We start from the raw sequence: 16,596 nt of genomic DNA on the forward strand, positions 1-16,596 counted from the left end.
ATGACACAGCCATGTGCCCAAGGTGGTCCGAGCACAGCTTGGTTTTATACATTTTAGGGAGACATGAGACATCGATCAATATATGTAAGATGAACATTGGTTCCATCCAGAAAGGCGGGACAACTGGAAGTGGGGAGGGGGCTTCCAGGTCATAGGTAGATAAGAGACAAATGTTTGCATTCTTTTGAGTTTCTGATTAGCCTTTCCAAAAGAGGCAATCAGATATACATTTATCTCAGTGAGCAGAGATATGACTTTGAATAGAATGGGACGCAGGTTTGCTCTAAGCAGTTCCCAGCTTGACTTTTCCTTTTAGCTAGTGATTTTGGGGCCCAAGATTTATTTTCCCCAATAAATTGGGGATTGGGCAGACCCAATCCTCTGCCTGTCATTTGCATCAGTGAGGGGATTGTGAGCTGCAGGTTTCCTTCAATTGGGAAAACAGAATCACAGAATTAGAGGGGAAATGGAATATATCTATATCTTGCATAGCACCACACATGTCCTAGTCACCTGCTGACACGTTATCACCCTTTGTTACAAATGGTTTACAAGCAGCTGAGCCTAACAACTTCTTTGGGTTTTCACTTCTTTCCTGTACACCCCATGCATATAAAAATATTAAGATCAATACAACATGGATGCCTTTCTCCTGTTCGTCTGTCTTTGGTCAATTTAATTCACAGTCTCCTCCCATACTAGCATGATGTGGGGAATTCAACAAATACTTGTTAAAATGTGGCATCAGCCCAGGATGCTCATTATTAATGCTTTTTAGGCTCACCTGGTTATTGAGCTGAGAAATCTATCATCATGATAAAACAATTGGAATAACCTTCATATCCTCAAGTCATTAAGAAAAAATCAGATAGCAGTTATGTGTCCTGATAAATTGTTAGGTTTAATAAAAGGCAGGATGTACAGTATATGTAGTCTGCCACTATTTAGGTAAACATAATTACTGTATATGTATCTCTTGGAAAATATACAAGAAATAAACAAGAAACTCCATCTGATGAGGGAAATTAAGGGCTGAGGAACCCCCTAATTGAGGGAGGCTCAATTTTCACTATATATCCTTTTGGAATTCTTAAATTGAATTCTACTTTAATAATTTAATTCTTAAATTAAATACCACTGCTGTGGATTGTGGTTTTTTTTTTCAAATTATTTAAGCAAAGGATCAGCAATGTCAGTCTTGAAACACAAGTCTTACTTACACTGCTACAAGGTAAATATCCTTTGCCCTTACTGAATGCAGCCCCCACTAAGTTATTAACATTGTAGAAAAGATTCGAGAGCAAAATTTAAGTGCTCATGCAATTTAAAATAGGCTGAATTAAATGGAAAAGAAGAGGGGCTCCTGAAAATAGGGTAAGAGAGCCATGGCCTCTTTATGTCTTCAATTCAGACTGCTCAACAGGAGAGTCCACTGAGCCACAGAAAAACAAATCCGGATTGTTATGAACTGAATGTCTGTCTCCAAAATTCACATTTTGAAATCCTCACCTCCAAGGTGATGGTGTTAGGAGATGGAGTTCTTTGGAAAGTAATTATGCCATAAGGGTGGAGCCTTCATGAATAGGATTGGTGCCTTTCCAGAGATTTATTTTCACCTTACCCCTTGCACCACATGAGGACGCAGTGAGAAGGCCCTGTCTGTGAACCAGAAAGCAGAATCTCACCAGAAGCTCAATCTGTTGGCACCGTGACCTTGGACTTGCCAGCCACCAGATCTGTGAACAATAAATTCCTGTCGCTTATAAACCACCAAGCCATAGCATTTTGTTATAGCAGCCTGCATAGACTAAAACGAAAGAAGACAGATTAATGGGAGAAAGCATACACATTTCATTTGTACATGTACATGGGAGCCTTCACAGCAAAATGAAGACCTCAAGAGTAGTTAGGCCTAAGTGCTTATCCACTGGATGGAACAAAGGGTAGTAATTGTGAGAAAGCAACTGGAATACCTAGGGAGGCTGGGGAAGGTAAGAGCTATTTTTGTTTGTTTGTTTGTTTGTTGGAGACAGAGTCTCACTCTGTCACCCAGCCTGGAGTGCAGTGATGTGATCGTGGCTCATTGCAACCTCCACCTCCTGGGTTCAAGCAATTCTTCTGCCTCAGCCTCCCAAGTAGCTGGGACTACAGGTGCGCGCCACCACACCTGGCTGATTTTTTTTGTTTGTTTTGTTTTTTTAGTAGATACGGGGTTTCACGTTGGCCAGGCTGGTCTGGAACTCCTGACCTCAGGTGATCTGCCTGCCTTGGCCTCCCAAAGTGCTGGGATTACAGGCATGAGCCACTCTACCTGGCGATAAGAGCTACTTTAACAAAGCCTGTTTGTATACATTTTGCTGCACTTCAGTCCCCATGCCTAGTCATGCTGTTTCTCCCTGCTGGTAGAGGCAAGCACCTTTCCCATGGAGGGTTCATCACCTGCTTTCAGGAAAAGGGGTCAGAGGGCCCTTCTTACACCTGCTGTTCTTCAAGTGCCTTCAGCTCAAAATAATTCTTATATCAAATCTGCATATTTTGGGGAGGTCTATTCTGCTATCTTGTTGGGAGCTGAAAGCCTGAGGGTCGTGACCAACTCAGCATTCCACTGGAGGCTATATGACTAAACAGCAAACTGTTTATCATGAATGCAGGATGTGGGCAAACTCGCATCTGTGCCTGCCACCAGAAGGTACGCTGAGGGCCTCATTCCCTGGCTCTGTGCTCCTTGAGGTTATCTACTGGGACATCTGGAGCCTACTGTTCAAAGAATGCAGTCATGCAGGCCTGCACTAAGTCAAGCAGCTGACCACAACCACCCCCTTATCCCTGTCTCCTTTACTTAATAAGAAGGGCTCTAGAAGCTCAGGGCCCTTGTTCACTAGAAGCAAGGAGCCCCCTGACCCCTTTTTCCAAATATACTCTTTTGTCTTTGTCTTTATTCCCACTTTTGTCCTCCTTTGTTCAGTCCACCAAGGCCCATAGCACTATCTCTTAATGCCTAACTCTCCTTTCTATTATTTCTGGAATTTTAACTTTTTGATATTTAGAACCACTCTTTCCACTTTTATAAACACTGCATGCTCAGGCTACCTCCATAGTGTACATGCGCTCGAAGAGTTGAGTACACAGTGAACAGATATCCACATTTCAGTTACTATCTCACATCGTTAGAACCCACAGGATACAGAAGCAAAGGCTCTGGTCGTAATTGTAAGGGTCTGGCTCTGTTGCCCAGAATGGAGTGCAGTGGTGTGATCACGGCTTACTGCTCACTGTAACCTGGAACTCTTGGGCTCAAGCGATCTTCCCACCTCAGCCTTCTAAGTAGTTAAGACCACAGGCACACGCCATCATGCCCAGATAATTTTTGTATTTTTTGTAGAGACAGAGTCTTGCCATGTTGTCCAGGCTGGTCTTGAACTCCTTGGCCTCAAGAAATCCTCCCATCTCAGCCTCCCAAAAAGCTGGGATTATAGGCATGAGCCACTATGCCTGGCTGGAAAGACTTCCTCAAGTGCCCACTTACACGACCCAGAAAGACTTCAGTTACTTTTTTCCTGTGTCTAAACTTCCTTCCTTAGCTCCTCACCTTAGGTCCTCAGCAATCAGTTCTGAGATACAAATTGCCCTGTATTGCCTTGCTGTATCTTTATAGGGCACAATTAGTGCACTATCCACTCCATTAATCAGTGAAAACAAGGAACATATAAGGCCAAGCTCTTGTTTTTTGTTGTTGTTGTTGTTGTTTTTGTTATTGTTGTTGTTTTTGACAGGGTCTGTTGCCCAGATTGGCCTCAAAAACTCCTGGGCTCAAGCCATCCTCTCGCCTCCCCAGTAGCTAGGATTACAGGCATGTGCCACACTGCCCAACTTAGACTCTGTTCTTCATACAAAGACCAGAATGACAGGGGGCTGCTTAAGTGGCTTGGTCTCCTACAGAAGGCAAAGCTTGATCATGATCCTGTCAAGAATGCATTATCTGCATCCAGTTCCGCAAATGTAGCTAACTGCCCAAATTCCTGCTCCCTCCAGGCTATCCAGCAAGATCATCAGCAAGGTTACATAGGTTTAGCTCTCCACCACTGGGCAAGACTTTGTTAGGACAAGGGCTTTGTAAAGCACAGAAGACTTGAACTTCACCTGCTCGGGAGGCTAAGGCAGGAAGATGGCTTGAGCCCAGGAGTTCAAGGCTGGCCACTATGCTCACGTCTGTGAATAGCCACTGTACTCTAGCCTGGGCAGCATGGCAAGACCCTGTCTCTGAAAAAACAAAACAAAAAGGGAAAACTTAAATTTATCCCAAAGGAGTCTAGTATTGAAAGTCAGAGCTGACTTTCAAAACCAGAACATAGCTGTCCCTGAATATTCTAGGCTTTCTGGATAGCCCTCCAAGGATCTGGCACTCATAAGTTTAAATACATCCTGAGATTTAAAGGGTATGATGTTCAGTTGTGTGTGTACTAATAAATTGATGAAGCTTTTGAATTTTGAGTCAACAGGCTATAAATTGGGTTCAAAGAGACTTATAAAATCCACTGTTGCCTATTGATAGCACTTTATGCACATCCCTTGCTATGTATAAGAGCACCTTTTACTATCATTGCTTCTACACACAATACAGGCCCCCTTCACTCAAGCATAAGCACCTTGAAAGCAGAGTGGGCAGCAGCCACAGGAAATGGATTTTATTCCCTCCATGATCCCAGCATGGGGTAGTGCTTGGCCTCATTCAATTTAATAAAGCCTTTCACAAATAAATGATTCCAACCTGTACCAGAGGGAGACAATCCCTACATCCTTATCCTCACAGCCATCCTCAGGTTTTCCTGACATAAGTCTACTATTGGATCTGTGGCCTGCTGCCCTAGCTGTAGGATTTCTCAGCAAGTTGGTCTCTGTGTCTCTCATCCCCAGAGCACTGCCAGACTACTTTGTGGCGCTGGGAAGCCTGTTTCAAAGTGCTGGGCACATGGGCCACGCCTGTCTGCGACTGCTCAGTAAACTGACTTCCAGGGCAGAGTGCCCTCTTTGAACTTTGGGCTGGGGTTTCCCAGTATTGATTTCACTTAGGAATTAACAATGCACATGCCTAGCTGGGCTTCTCACACACAACTAGCTAGTCATCTACCCTAACAGAAGACAGGGTGAATTTACAACATACATGACTAGCCAGCCTTTTAACTGAATGGGAGATTGGGTATGTTAACACATACAATGAGATGGACTTCTAACCCGAGATGGGCCAACACCACAGCTACATATGTGTGCACATGGGTGCACGTGCACACACACACACCCCTAGCCAGCCTTCTAACCTAATGGGAGATAGCCCAAGTTAAAAAGATACACAACTAGCCAGCCTTCTAAATTAACAGGAGGTAGGCTGAGTTAAAACACACAAGTAGCTGGACTTTTTTTTGTTTTTTTTTTTGAGATTGAGTCTCGTTCTGTTGCCCACGCTGCAGTGCAGTGGCATGATCTTGGCTCACTGCAACCTCCGCCCCCTGGGTTCAAGCAGTTCTCCTGCCTCAGCCTCCCAAGTAGCTGGGATTACAGGTATGCGCCACCAAACCCGGCTAATTTTAGAGATGGGGTTTCACCATGTTGGCCAGGCTGGTCTGGAACTCCTGACCTCAGGTGATACACCCGCCTCGGCCTCCCAAAGTGCTGGGATTACAGGCGTAAGCTGCTATGCTGGTGAAGTAGCTGGACTTCTAACTTAAAATAGGCCAAGATAATACATACTACTTGCTGGCCTTAACAGGAGATGGGCTGTCAAGGCAGAAGACTAGCTGGACTGGTAACCTCACTGGAAACAAGCTGCGTGTACACACACACACACACACGCAGGACTTCTAACCTAATTTGAAAGAGGCTGAGCTGAGAACACACAAGACCAGCCAGCCTTCCAACCTAACTGTAGATAGGCTGAGTTGACACAACTAGCTGGGGTTGCTTACCTAACTGGAGATAGACCAATTAGGCTACCCTCAACACCCCGTCCCCAAAACAGACCAACCATGATTCTTATCTAAACGGATAGGCCAAGTTAGCCCCACACACTACTAGCTGGATTTGTGACTGGAGACAGGCTGAGAGGTAACGCGTGTGAGTAGCTGGCCTCCTAACTGGACAGGGTGAACACAGGATTCACCAGCCTCCCACCCTAATCAGAAGTAGGTAAGCCAGCACAGGCCAGCGGAAGGAACCCCCCGAAACCCAAGAGACTAGCTTGCTACAGCAACTCTTCGACCAGGTGGGTGGCTCTTAAAAGAGCCTTTGGGGTGAACGTTGCGCAACCTCTCAGGTGGCGAGATAGCCCTCCTAGGCCCGCTCCCCGCGGATACGGCGTGCCAGCTGGATGTCCTTAGGCATGATGGTGACCCGTTTGGCATGGATGACACACAGGTTGGTGTCCTCAAACAGCCCCACCAGGTAAGACTCGCACGCCTCCTGCAGCGCCATCACGGCCGAGCTCTGGAAGCGCAGGTCGGTCTTAAAGTCCTGAGCGATCTCGCGCATCAGCCGCTGGAAGGGCAACTTGCGGATTAGCAGCTCAGTGGACTTCTGGTAGCGGCGGATCTCGCGAAGCGCCACCGTGCCGGGCCGGTAGCGGTGCGGCTTCTTCACGCCGCCAGTGGCAGGTGCGCTCTTGCGAGCCACCTTGGTGGCCAGCTGCTTGCGCGGCGCCTTGCCACCCGTTGACTTGCGCGCAGTCTGCTTGGTTCGGGCCATGAATCCGAAACTGTTGGCCCCGCGGTGTCCTCTGCCCAGACCTCAGCGGATTGCTCGCTTTTATAGAGCTTGCCGCGTTCCCATTGGCTGGCCTCAGGTGGCGTGATGGCCCACTGCTCTCTGATTGGCCCACAGGGAACTCCACTCGGGCGCCTCTCCCTTATATTCATGCCTGTTGGTCGTGGCCACCAGAGCTGGCACCAGCATTGTGAAGGGTTGATGCGGGTAGGCCGCGGTGGTGGGGATCATCTCTCTCCAGCACAAGCTTCCTCATGTCTTCTCAGCGCTCCTCTTCTCCCTTCCCCATGACTTGGGTGGCAAGAGCCTTCCAGAAGCCAGCACATGGCATTCCACTTTTTTAAAAAATTAATTTATTTTTTTATTTTTTGAGATGGAGTTTCACTCTTGTTGCCCAGGCTGGAGTGCAATAGCGTGATCTCTGCTTACTGCAACCTCCACCTCCCAGGTTCAAGCGATTCTCCTGCCTCAGCCTCCCGAGTAACTGGAATTACAGGGATTACAGGTGTCCGCCACCATGCCTGGCTAATTTTTTGTGTTTTTAATAGAGATGGGGTTTCACCATATTGGCCAGGCTGGTCTCGAACTCCTGACCTCAGGTGATCCACCCGCCTCGGCCTCCCAAAGTGCTGGGATTACAGGCATGAGCCACCAGGCCCAGCTGGCATTTCACTTTTTTTTTTTTTTTTTTGAGACGGAGTCTCTCTCTGTCGCCCAGGCTGGAGTGCAGTGGCGCAATCCCAGCTCACTGCAAGCTCCGCCTCCCGGGTTCACGCCATTCTCCTGCCTCAGCCTACAGAGTAGCTGGGACTACAGGTGCCCGCCATCATGCCTGGCTAATTTTGTTTTGTATTTTTAGTAGAGACGGGGTTTCACCATGTTAGCCAGGATGGTCTCGATCTCCTGACCTCGTGATCCGCCCGCCTCGGCCTCCCAAAGTGTTGGGATTACAGGCGTGAGCCAGCGTGCCCGGCCGGCATTCCACTTTTACACAGTGACAAAGCTCTGGGATGCAGCCAGAGTTAAAGGAATCTCCCACTTTTTATGACCTGCAAAGAACTCCCTTACCTGTACGGCTTAGATGAGCCTTAGGATTCTGAAGAAGGTAAAGATGTGCCTTTCTGGCATATTGTCTATTTTGAGATAAAGGCACTTAAAAAAAAAAAAGAAGAAGCAGGTGTAGGAAGATCATTCTGAATTTCTTGTTGTTTCTTAAATACAAGAGATGAAATTCCCATATGAAAGATGTTCTCCTTATAGTAAAAGCAAGGGAACGTTCTTATCATCAAGGACGGGAGGTGGAAGCTTCCAAATCTCCTCCAACTCTCAAGTTGAAATTTGATCCCTAAAGTTGGAGCCCAGGGAGGGGGGGGCCAGTGGGAGGTGTGTGGGTCCTGGGGTGTCACCCTCTGAATAGAGTCCTGCCCTCCTTTAGGGTGAGTTTTCACTCTGTTGGTTCCCTGAAGAGCTGGTGTTGAAAAGAGCCTGGCACCCCTCTCCCCTCTCTCTCTGGCGTCCTCTCTCGCGGCAGCCCTGTGACCTCTGCACATACATGGGTTCCCCTTCACCTTCCACCATGAGCAGAAGCAGCCAGAGGCCCTCACCAGAAGCAGAGGTGGGCCCTATGCTTGCTTCCTTCCTTTCTCCCTCCCTCCCTTCCTTTCTCCTTCCCTCCCTTCCTCACTCCCTCCCTTCCTTTCTCCTTCCCTCCCTTCCTTTCTCCTTCCCTCCCTTCCTTTCTCCTTCCCTCCCTTCCTTTCTCCTTCCCTCCCTTCCTCACTCCCTCCCTCCCTTCCTTTTTTTCTTCTCCCTTCCCCTCCCCTCCTTTCCCTCCTTTTTTCATCTTGCTCTGTTGCCCAGGCCCCTCTTACCTCAGCCTCCCAAGTAGCTGGGACCACATCCAGCTAATTTTTAAATTTTTAATTTTTTTGTAGAGATGGGCTGTCATTATGTTGCCCAAGCTGGTCTTGAATTCCTGAGTTCAACTGATCCCCCGACCTTGGCCTCCCAAAGTGCTAGGATTACACCGTGCCCGGCCACTATGCTTTTTTTTTTTTAATTTTTTGACCTGAGTCTCACTCTGTTGCCCAGGCTGGAGTGCAGTGATGTGATCTCAGCCCACTGCAACATCCGCCTCCCGGGAAGTTCAAGCGACTCTCCTGCCTCAGCCTCCTGAGTAGCTGGGATTACAGGCGTGAGCCACTGCGCCCAGCCACTGTGCTTCTTGTACAGCCTGCGAAACCATAAGCCAAATAAACCTTTTTTTTTTTTAATAAATCATCCAGCCTCAGGTATTCCTTTAACAACATGAAACAGACCAAGATAGAAGCCAAGAGAAATCTATACAAACAAACTTTATTAAACTAACCCTTATCTTCCTAGTTGTTGCCACAGTTACTACTCTTTGTTCAACCTAGTGTGTAAGTATTTTGACTTAGTCATTTCTTCACCCCATTAACTATCCTCACTCAAGCCCCGTGGCCGTATCAAATCTCACAACTTAATAGTGTTTGTCCACCTCTGTATATAAGTGACTCTAACTGCCTCTTTGCATCTTCATTTCCTTATGAGGGCTCCTGTACCACATTAAATTTGTATTAAATAACTGTATGTTTTTCTCCTGCTCATCTCTCTAATGTCAGTCTAATTCTTGGGCCCACCCTGGACCCTAAGATAATGGAGGTAGAATTCTGCCTCCCCTACAGCGCCCCTTGTTGATGCATGACAGGCCCACTGTCTTTGTCTGTTTTGCGTTGCTGTAAAGGAATACTAGAAGCTGGGTAATTTATCAAAACTTTTTTTGGCTTATGGTTCTGCAGGCTGTATAAGAAGCAAGGCTTCAGCATCTGCTTCTGATGAGGACCTCAGGAAGCCTCCATTCATGGTGGAAGATGAAGGGGAGCCCCTGTGTGCAGAGGTCACAGGGAAAGAGAGAGGAGGAGGTGCCGGGCTGTTTTTAACAACCAGCTTTGGCAGGAACTAATAGAGCAAGAACTCCACTCCCTACAAGGGAGGGCAGGAGTCTATTCATGAAGGATCTGCCCCCAGGACCCAAGCACCTCCCACCAGGCTGCACCTCCAACACTGGAGATTAAATTTCAACATGAGAATTAATGAGACAAACACCTTATTCAAACTATAGCACCCACTACATTGCCATCTTTGCCTTATCAATGATTACCTGAACTCCTTGTCCCCATGCGTCAATCCACACAAGATGCTTGTTTGCCCAGCCTTGGTTCAGCTTCTCCCCTCCCCCAACGCCCTGATGTTTGGCCTCTCCTGGAGCAGGCCAGGCTCAGGGTAAAGTATCCTCAATCTCTTGTCCCCTCAGCCACCCTTCATCCCACTTCCCCAGACGTGGTTCTTTCCAGCCTCATTCATTCCTCCCTATATAAGAAAACTCCTTCTCTGCGTCACCTTTGGGAGCTTGCAGACATTAAGGTCAATGCTTTCTCCCTATTGCAGTATTCTGGTATCTCCTATTGCAATATCCTTTTGCATAAAGATATCTCCTTACTAAATCTGGATTGGTTTTTTTATTGGACAGTGGTTGTTACACAGAAGGCCTGCTGCCCTCTGCTCATCGGGTCTGGTTGGCTGGGCAGACAGATGGAAGGACCCTAGGACCATCCACCTGTGAAGTCCACCCAGGCTCGCCCCTGGTGTAAATGATGTGGGGTCTGACCTGGCCAGACCAGATGCTGCTCAACCCTTTAACTGCCTGGGAGGATTTGGACACGTTCCATCTTCCTGGAGCTGTCCCTCACTCGAGAGAGGCAGCCTTGGGACTCTCCAGGTGTCCTTAGGGCTAACGGGGCTGATGATGGGCGGATGATGGATTCCAGGCACCTGCTGCGACCTCCCCAGGAGCACCTGCAAAGCAGCCCTTTCTGCCTCGTGACTCTACCCAGGCCTCCCTGTGGAGTGTGGCACAGGCTTGGCCAGTTCTCCGAGTGCAGCCAAGAGGCTCATAGGTTTTGGGCACATGTCTGCGACCTCACTTTTCCAGTCATAAGGGCTTTTGCTTTTAGATTCTCAGGGGCTTTGAGCTCCCAAACCACCCAGACATAGCACAGGATGCCACCTGGTTCTATGTGTCTGAGCAAACAAATGCACTCACATGAAGCACAGAATAAAGGGCTGCCTAAATGCGGACCCACCCACCCCTGGCAAGGCTTGAAAATAGCCTCTATATTACATGTAAAAGCGCTTTTTAGATGATTAGCTGAACAGTTCATTTTCTTGATCTCCAATCATTGAGTTCTATGTCGTTAAAACCCCTAGAAGGACCAAGACGTAGAGAAAAATGTCCCCTGAAAACTTCCCAAGAGAGATTTCCTCTGCAAACTGAAGAGAATGTGAGATACAAACATTCCCCACAAGGAACTGGTCTGTCGAGGCCACACGCATTCTGTAAATCAGTGCTTTTTCTCTGTCTCCTCGTTTTCTCTCCTTATGGTCTTTGCATGTACAGCTGAGGCAGTAACGGGACTTGTATCCTCGTGTTAAAGTTCTTTGAGATTTGGGGGTCGTACGTGGTTGGTCATATTGCATCATCTCTGTAGGAGCATTCCCATCAGCAAACAATATGCTATCGCTTCTCCAATTTATAAATTGGCTTTTCTCCTTAGTCTGGGCAGCAGCAAGCCTGAAACCATCTGGACTTTCACAAACTCACTGTAAGGGCAGAGATGGGGGTCTTACAGGAACAGGCACTCCTTCTAGGTCTGGGGTAAACAGTGCACAAAGCGATGGTGAGCTCTGTCCTCCTAAGACTCTTCCAAAGCCAGTGTGCACTAGGGTTTCCCACTGTTTGTTAGAAAGAACGCCTTCCCTCTCCATCCAATGTGCCCTTCCATCTGGCATCCCACTTCTCTGGCCCACTCTGCAGGAAACTCCTCACAAGTCCTGTCCATACTGACCATCCCCAAGTTCCATCTTCCCATTCTGTGGGCCTGGTGCATGGTGAGTGCTCCATGTGTGTCCAGGAGGGTGCCAGTGGGAGACGACTTTCAGTACGGTCTGTGGGATGAACCAGTCAGTCCACAGTCACATCATCAATTGGGACGGAGCCAAGTGCCAGTCATCTACCTTGGAGCTTCCAGAAGCTGCAGGAAACACTGACATATCTCTAAAGCAGGGGAGTATGTTGGCTGTAGCCAGTTTTTTTTACAATCGGATCTTTGCTGTGTTCATAGCCACTTTCTAAGGGCCCCAGCGTGGGTGTGTCTCCACTGTCCTGATTCCCCACCGCCTCAATAGTAAAAAAGAATCCTGCCATGTGTTCAGTGTTTTTCTGAAGGATCCTTTATAATGTCTTCTTCTTTCTTTCTTTACTTTTTAAATTTGTCTGCAAAACAAGGTATTAATCTATCCATGATAGAACACACTAAAGCAAATTTTTCTCCTTAAACAGGTAAGATGAACTTCCATCCAGATTGGGTGCTCTAGAATATTTTCTTATTAAGGAGATTTCTTTTCTTGTTCAGTTTGAATAGATGGCAAGAATTCCTCACACCATGAGCTTTTTTTGTTGTCCCATGAACCCCTGTCGCAGTTTGATGAAGCCTATGGATTCTGTCTTAGAAAGACTTTTTTTTTTTGAGATGGAGTCTCACTCTGTCACCCAGGCTGGAGTGCAGTGGTGTGATCTCTGCTCATTGCAACCTCTGCCTCCTGGGTTCAAGCAATTCTCCTGCCTTGGCCTCCTTAGTAGTTGGGACTACAGGGACCAGCCACCACACCTGGCTAATTTTTTTTTTTTATTTTTAGTAGAGACAGGGTTTCACCATGTTGGTCAGGCTGGTCTTGAACTCCTCACCTCAAGTGATCCACCCACCTCAGCTTCCCAAAGTGCTGGGATTACAGGCATGAGCCACCATGCCAGGCCAAAAAGTTTTTAAATGCACAAAAATGTTAAAAAATTATTAATACAAAGGAAATCAATTATATTGAAATAAGTTGTGAAAACATATAAAATTAACTTGTCATAGAGTTATAAATGTGCATCTTTATGAATGCATTAAATAACATTTGAATTAGGAAGTATTTGTAGCTACTGTCATTTCAAAGTCGTGATGGGTGTTAAGGGTCTTCAAAGATATTTGCCATGACTGCACTGTAATAAAACTCCATCCTCTCTCCGCACATCAATTATACTTCTTTCTCAATGTTTTCATGATTGCCCTGGAGTTTGTAATATACATTTACAACCTAAGTCTACTTTTAATAACACTATCCTGCTTCATGATCAGGAGTGGTAGCTCATGCCTGTAATAAATCTCAGCACTTTGGGAGGCCAAGGCCAGCAATGGCTTGAGCCCAGGAGTTTGAGATCAGGGCAACATAGTGGGACCCCGTCTCTACAAAAAATACGAAAAAATAGCCGGGCATGGTGTCATGCAACTGTAGTCCCAGCTACTTGGGAAGCTGAGGTGGGAGGATTCCTTGAGCCTGGGAAGTTGAAGCTGCAGTGAGCTGAGACTGTGCCACTGCACTCCAGCCTGGGCAACAGAGCGAGACCCTGCCTCAAAAAAAAAAAAAAAAAGAGAAGGAGCCAAACGCTGATGCCCCCTAGGCCCAGTGACAGTGCCAGCACAAGGCCTATACAGGCACTTGGCAAATGCGCTGTGTTCTTATTGTTGCAAATGGCCTGTTAGCTTCCCAGGTCACAACGACCCCAAATAACTCCCACACCTGCACCATGCACCCAGTAGGCACTCAATAAACATTGACGTCAGGAATGGTCCGTGTGGGTCTGGTTCTGGTTCTCGTTTGTCTCTTCAGATTGTGTGTTCTTGCCTTTTGGCACGTCTTGTCATTTTGTGTTGAAGCTGGAGATAAAGTATCAGGTAATCAGAACTCTGGTATGGCTGGGGGTGGTGGCTCATGCCTGTAATCCCAACACTTTGGGAGACTAAGGTAGGAGGACTGCTTGAGGCCAGGAGTTCAAGATCAGCCTGGGCAGCATATCAAGACCCCGTCTCTAAAAGAAAAAAAAAATTAAAAAAAAAAAAAACTTAGCTGGGCATGTTCGTGTGTGCCTGTAATCCCAGCACGTTGGGAGGCCAAGGTGAGAGAATCGCTTGAGCCCAGGAGTTTGAGTCTGCAGTGATCTATGACTGTGCCACTGCACTCCAGCCTGGGCCACAGAGTGAGACCCTGTTTAAAAAAAAAAAATCGGGAACATAGGCCGTTAGCGTGAGCATTTACATCATCTGGCTCGAAACTGGGCTCTTTTTCATGTTTATTATAGCCGAAGTTTTGTTTACCTAGGGTCCTTGTTCTCATCTCCCCTCCTGACTTTAAACTTCCCTAAGAGCTCCTTCACACACTGTCCGGTGTATCATAGTGAGGACTAAGCACTGACCTTTTATCTTACCCAAATAAGCTCTCACCTTTTATCTTACCCAAATTCCCACCTACGGGGTCTAGGGAGTCAACCCCTACAAACCATAAATTCTCATCAGATGGGTTTTATTTGACCCTATATATTGTGACTGACTTTTCAATCTGACTCTGGCATAAAATTTTGAGACAAGGAAAAAATATTCAACCCCAAAATATATATTCCTTGCCATGCCTTGAAATTGCCCTGAAAAATCTCTTGTGGGAAAAATCCACATTCTATAGAGAATCCCCTTTCCCCTTTGTTTTCCTTCCTTTCTTTCCAGATCCAGGAGATAATCAACTAAGAGCCAGGCACCCTTTTAAGTCCCATAAGAAACAATTTACAACCTGCTGTCTCTGAAGTTGGCTATCTGAGCACTTCCTCTGCACAATAAAACTTGGTCTCCACAATCCTTTATTTTTAACCTGAACATTTCCTTTCTATCGATCCCAGGTCTTTAGACAAGCTCAACCAATTATCTGCCAGAAAATGTTTACATTTACTTATAGCCCGGAAGCACTTGCTTTGAGTTGTCCTGCCTTTCTGAACCAAACCAATATATTTCTTAATATTTGATTAATGTCTCATGCCTTCCTAAAATATATAAAACCAAGCTGTACCTCAACCACCTTGGGCACATGTTCTCAGGACCTCCTGAGGGCTGTGTCATGGGCCATGGTCACTCATATTTGGCTCAGAATAAATCTCTTAAAATATTTTATGGAGTTTGACTCGCTTGATCAACAGTAGCTCTTTCTGTCAGACTGTACTCACACTGGAGCCTTATGGCGTGGTGGCCGGCCTGGGGTGGAGGAAGCATTCCATAGTGTTATGATGAAATCTCAGCCTCTTATTTGGCCTGTGCCCCTGGACTGTGACCTTCACAGGTGTTTCCTAGCTGCTTTTGTCTCCTTAAGGCTAGAGGTGGCTGAAGTGGAGGGAATACCTTTCTCGAAAGGAAAATAAATCTGAAAGGAAAATAAATCTTGGTGCCCCAGAATCACTAAGCTAAAGAGAAAAGTCAAGCTGGGAACTGCTTAGGGCAAACCTACCTCTCATTCTATTCAAAGTCACCCCTCTGCTCCCTGAGATAAATGCATATCTGATGGCCTCATTTGGAGAGGCTAATCAGAAACTCAAAAGAATGCAACCATTTGTCTCTTATCTACCTATGACCTAGAAGCGCCCTCCCTGCTTCAAATTGTCCTGCCTTTGCCTCGAGTTGTCCCACCTTTCCGGACTGAACCAATGTACATATTACACATAATGATTGATGTCTCATATTTCCCTAAAATGTATAAAACCAAGCTGTGCTGAGACCACCTTGGGCACATGTCGTCAGGACCTCCTGAGGCTGTGTCACAGATGCACATCCTCAACCTTGGCAAAATAAACTCTCTAAACTAATTGAGACCTGTCTCAGACATTTGGGGGTCACACCTCCCCCAGCTGGATTAAGCCTGTTAGTGTCTCTCCCCTGAAGGGTAGGCCTTTCTTGGGGGCATGTCCTGAGTGTACTTCACCATGGTTGCTTTCCCGCCTCCTGCCACAGCCTGGAGGGGTCTTTTCTATTGCACCAAGAGAACCTAGTGGGGTTCCTACAGGTAAAAACCAAGAAAAGAGTGGGCCACCCACACCCATACTGTTGGAATTCAATTTTCCACAAATTGAAAAAAATTAAAATTCCCAAAATGGAAACACCTTCAGTCCCCAGGAAATTCTTACTCTCAGGCTGTTCCACACTGATGGCTGGAGATTTCCTGCCAGTCAAAGGCTCCGGAAGCTTCTGCTCCAGGTAATCCTGGGCTTCCTTCTCACTGGGGAAGGATGTATTTCATCATCACACAGGACGCTGGGGTTTGGTGTGCGTTGTTTTATCATAATAAGAAATGATCAATTTATTTTATCCAAACTTTGCTATTTACTTAAAAAGATAACTATCCAATATTAGCAAAAATAATTTTAGAACTAAGAATTTTTGCTTTTCAAAATTTATGAACATAATGAGTCACATTTACAGATTTCCCAATGGTTACAAGCCCTCCCATTCCCGAGAGTAGCCCCGCTTCATTCTGGCGGTGGAGAGGGCTTGGCAGGCTGGTATGTGCATTCTGATTGGCTGACATCCTGCAGTGGTTTGGTCCAATTAGAGAGCTGAACTGGCAGCATCTTATTTAAATGTGCACTTTAATCCAATCAGATGCTGGATTTCTCTAAGCCCTCATTTGAATGTAAGCCATACAAATGGGACCAGCTGTGCAAATGACATTTGCAAGGCAATGCCTTGTCTCCCACTCAAACTCCATTTCTCCACCTAGGAGGAGAACTTGACCGCTAGATGTGGTTTGTGTTCAGAATAATCAGGGGCGGGTTACAAGCTCCCCCATCACGCACCTAGTGTCCACAAGTGTGCACATCTCCACTAAGTTCCCCAGCTGCAAGGAAGCAGC

At 46.6% G+C, this 16,596-nt stretch overlaps 1 protein-coding gene across 1 annotated transcript; it reads right to left on the reverse strand.

The window, feature by feature from the left end:
- Positions 1–6,254: 6,254 nt before the first annotated feature.
- H3-4 (H3.4 histone, cluster member) lies at positions 6,255–6,770 on the reverse strand. Its single transcript, NM_003493.3, has one exon. It carries the CDS (start codon positions 6,733–6,735, stop codon positions 6,325–6,327), a length of 411 nt encoding a protein of 136 aa, NP_003484.1. The 5' UTR covers positions 6,736–6,770; the 3' UTR covers positions 6,255–6,324.
- Between the last annotated feature and the right edge of the window lie 9,826 nt (positions 6,771–16,596).

This window comes from Homo sapiens, chromosome 1 (assembly GCF_000001405.40).
Source record: "Homo sapiens chromosome 1, GRCh38.p14 Primary Assembly".
Lineage (NCBI taxonomy): Eukaryota > Metazoa > Chordata > Mammalia > Primates > Hominidae > Homo > Homo sapiens.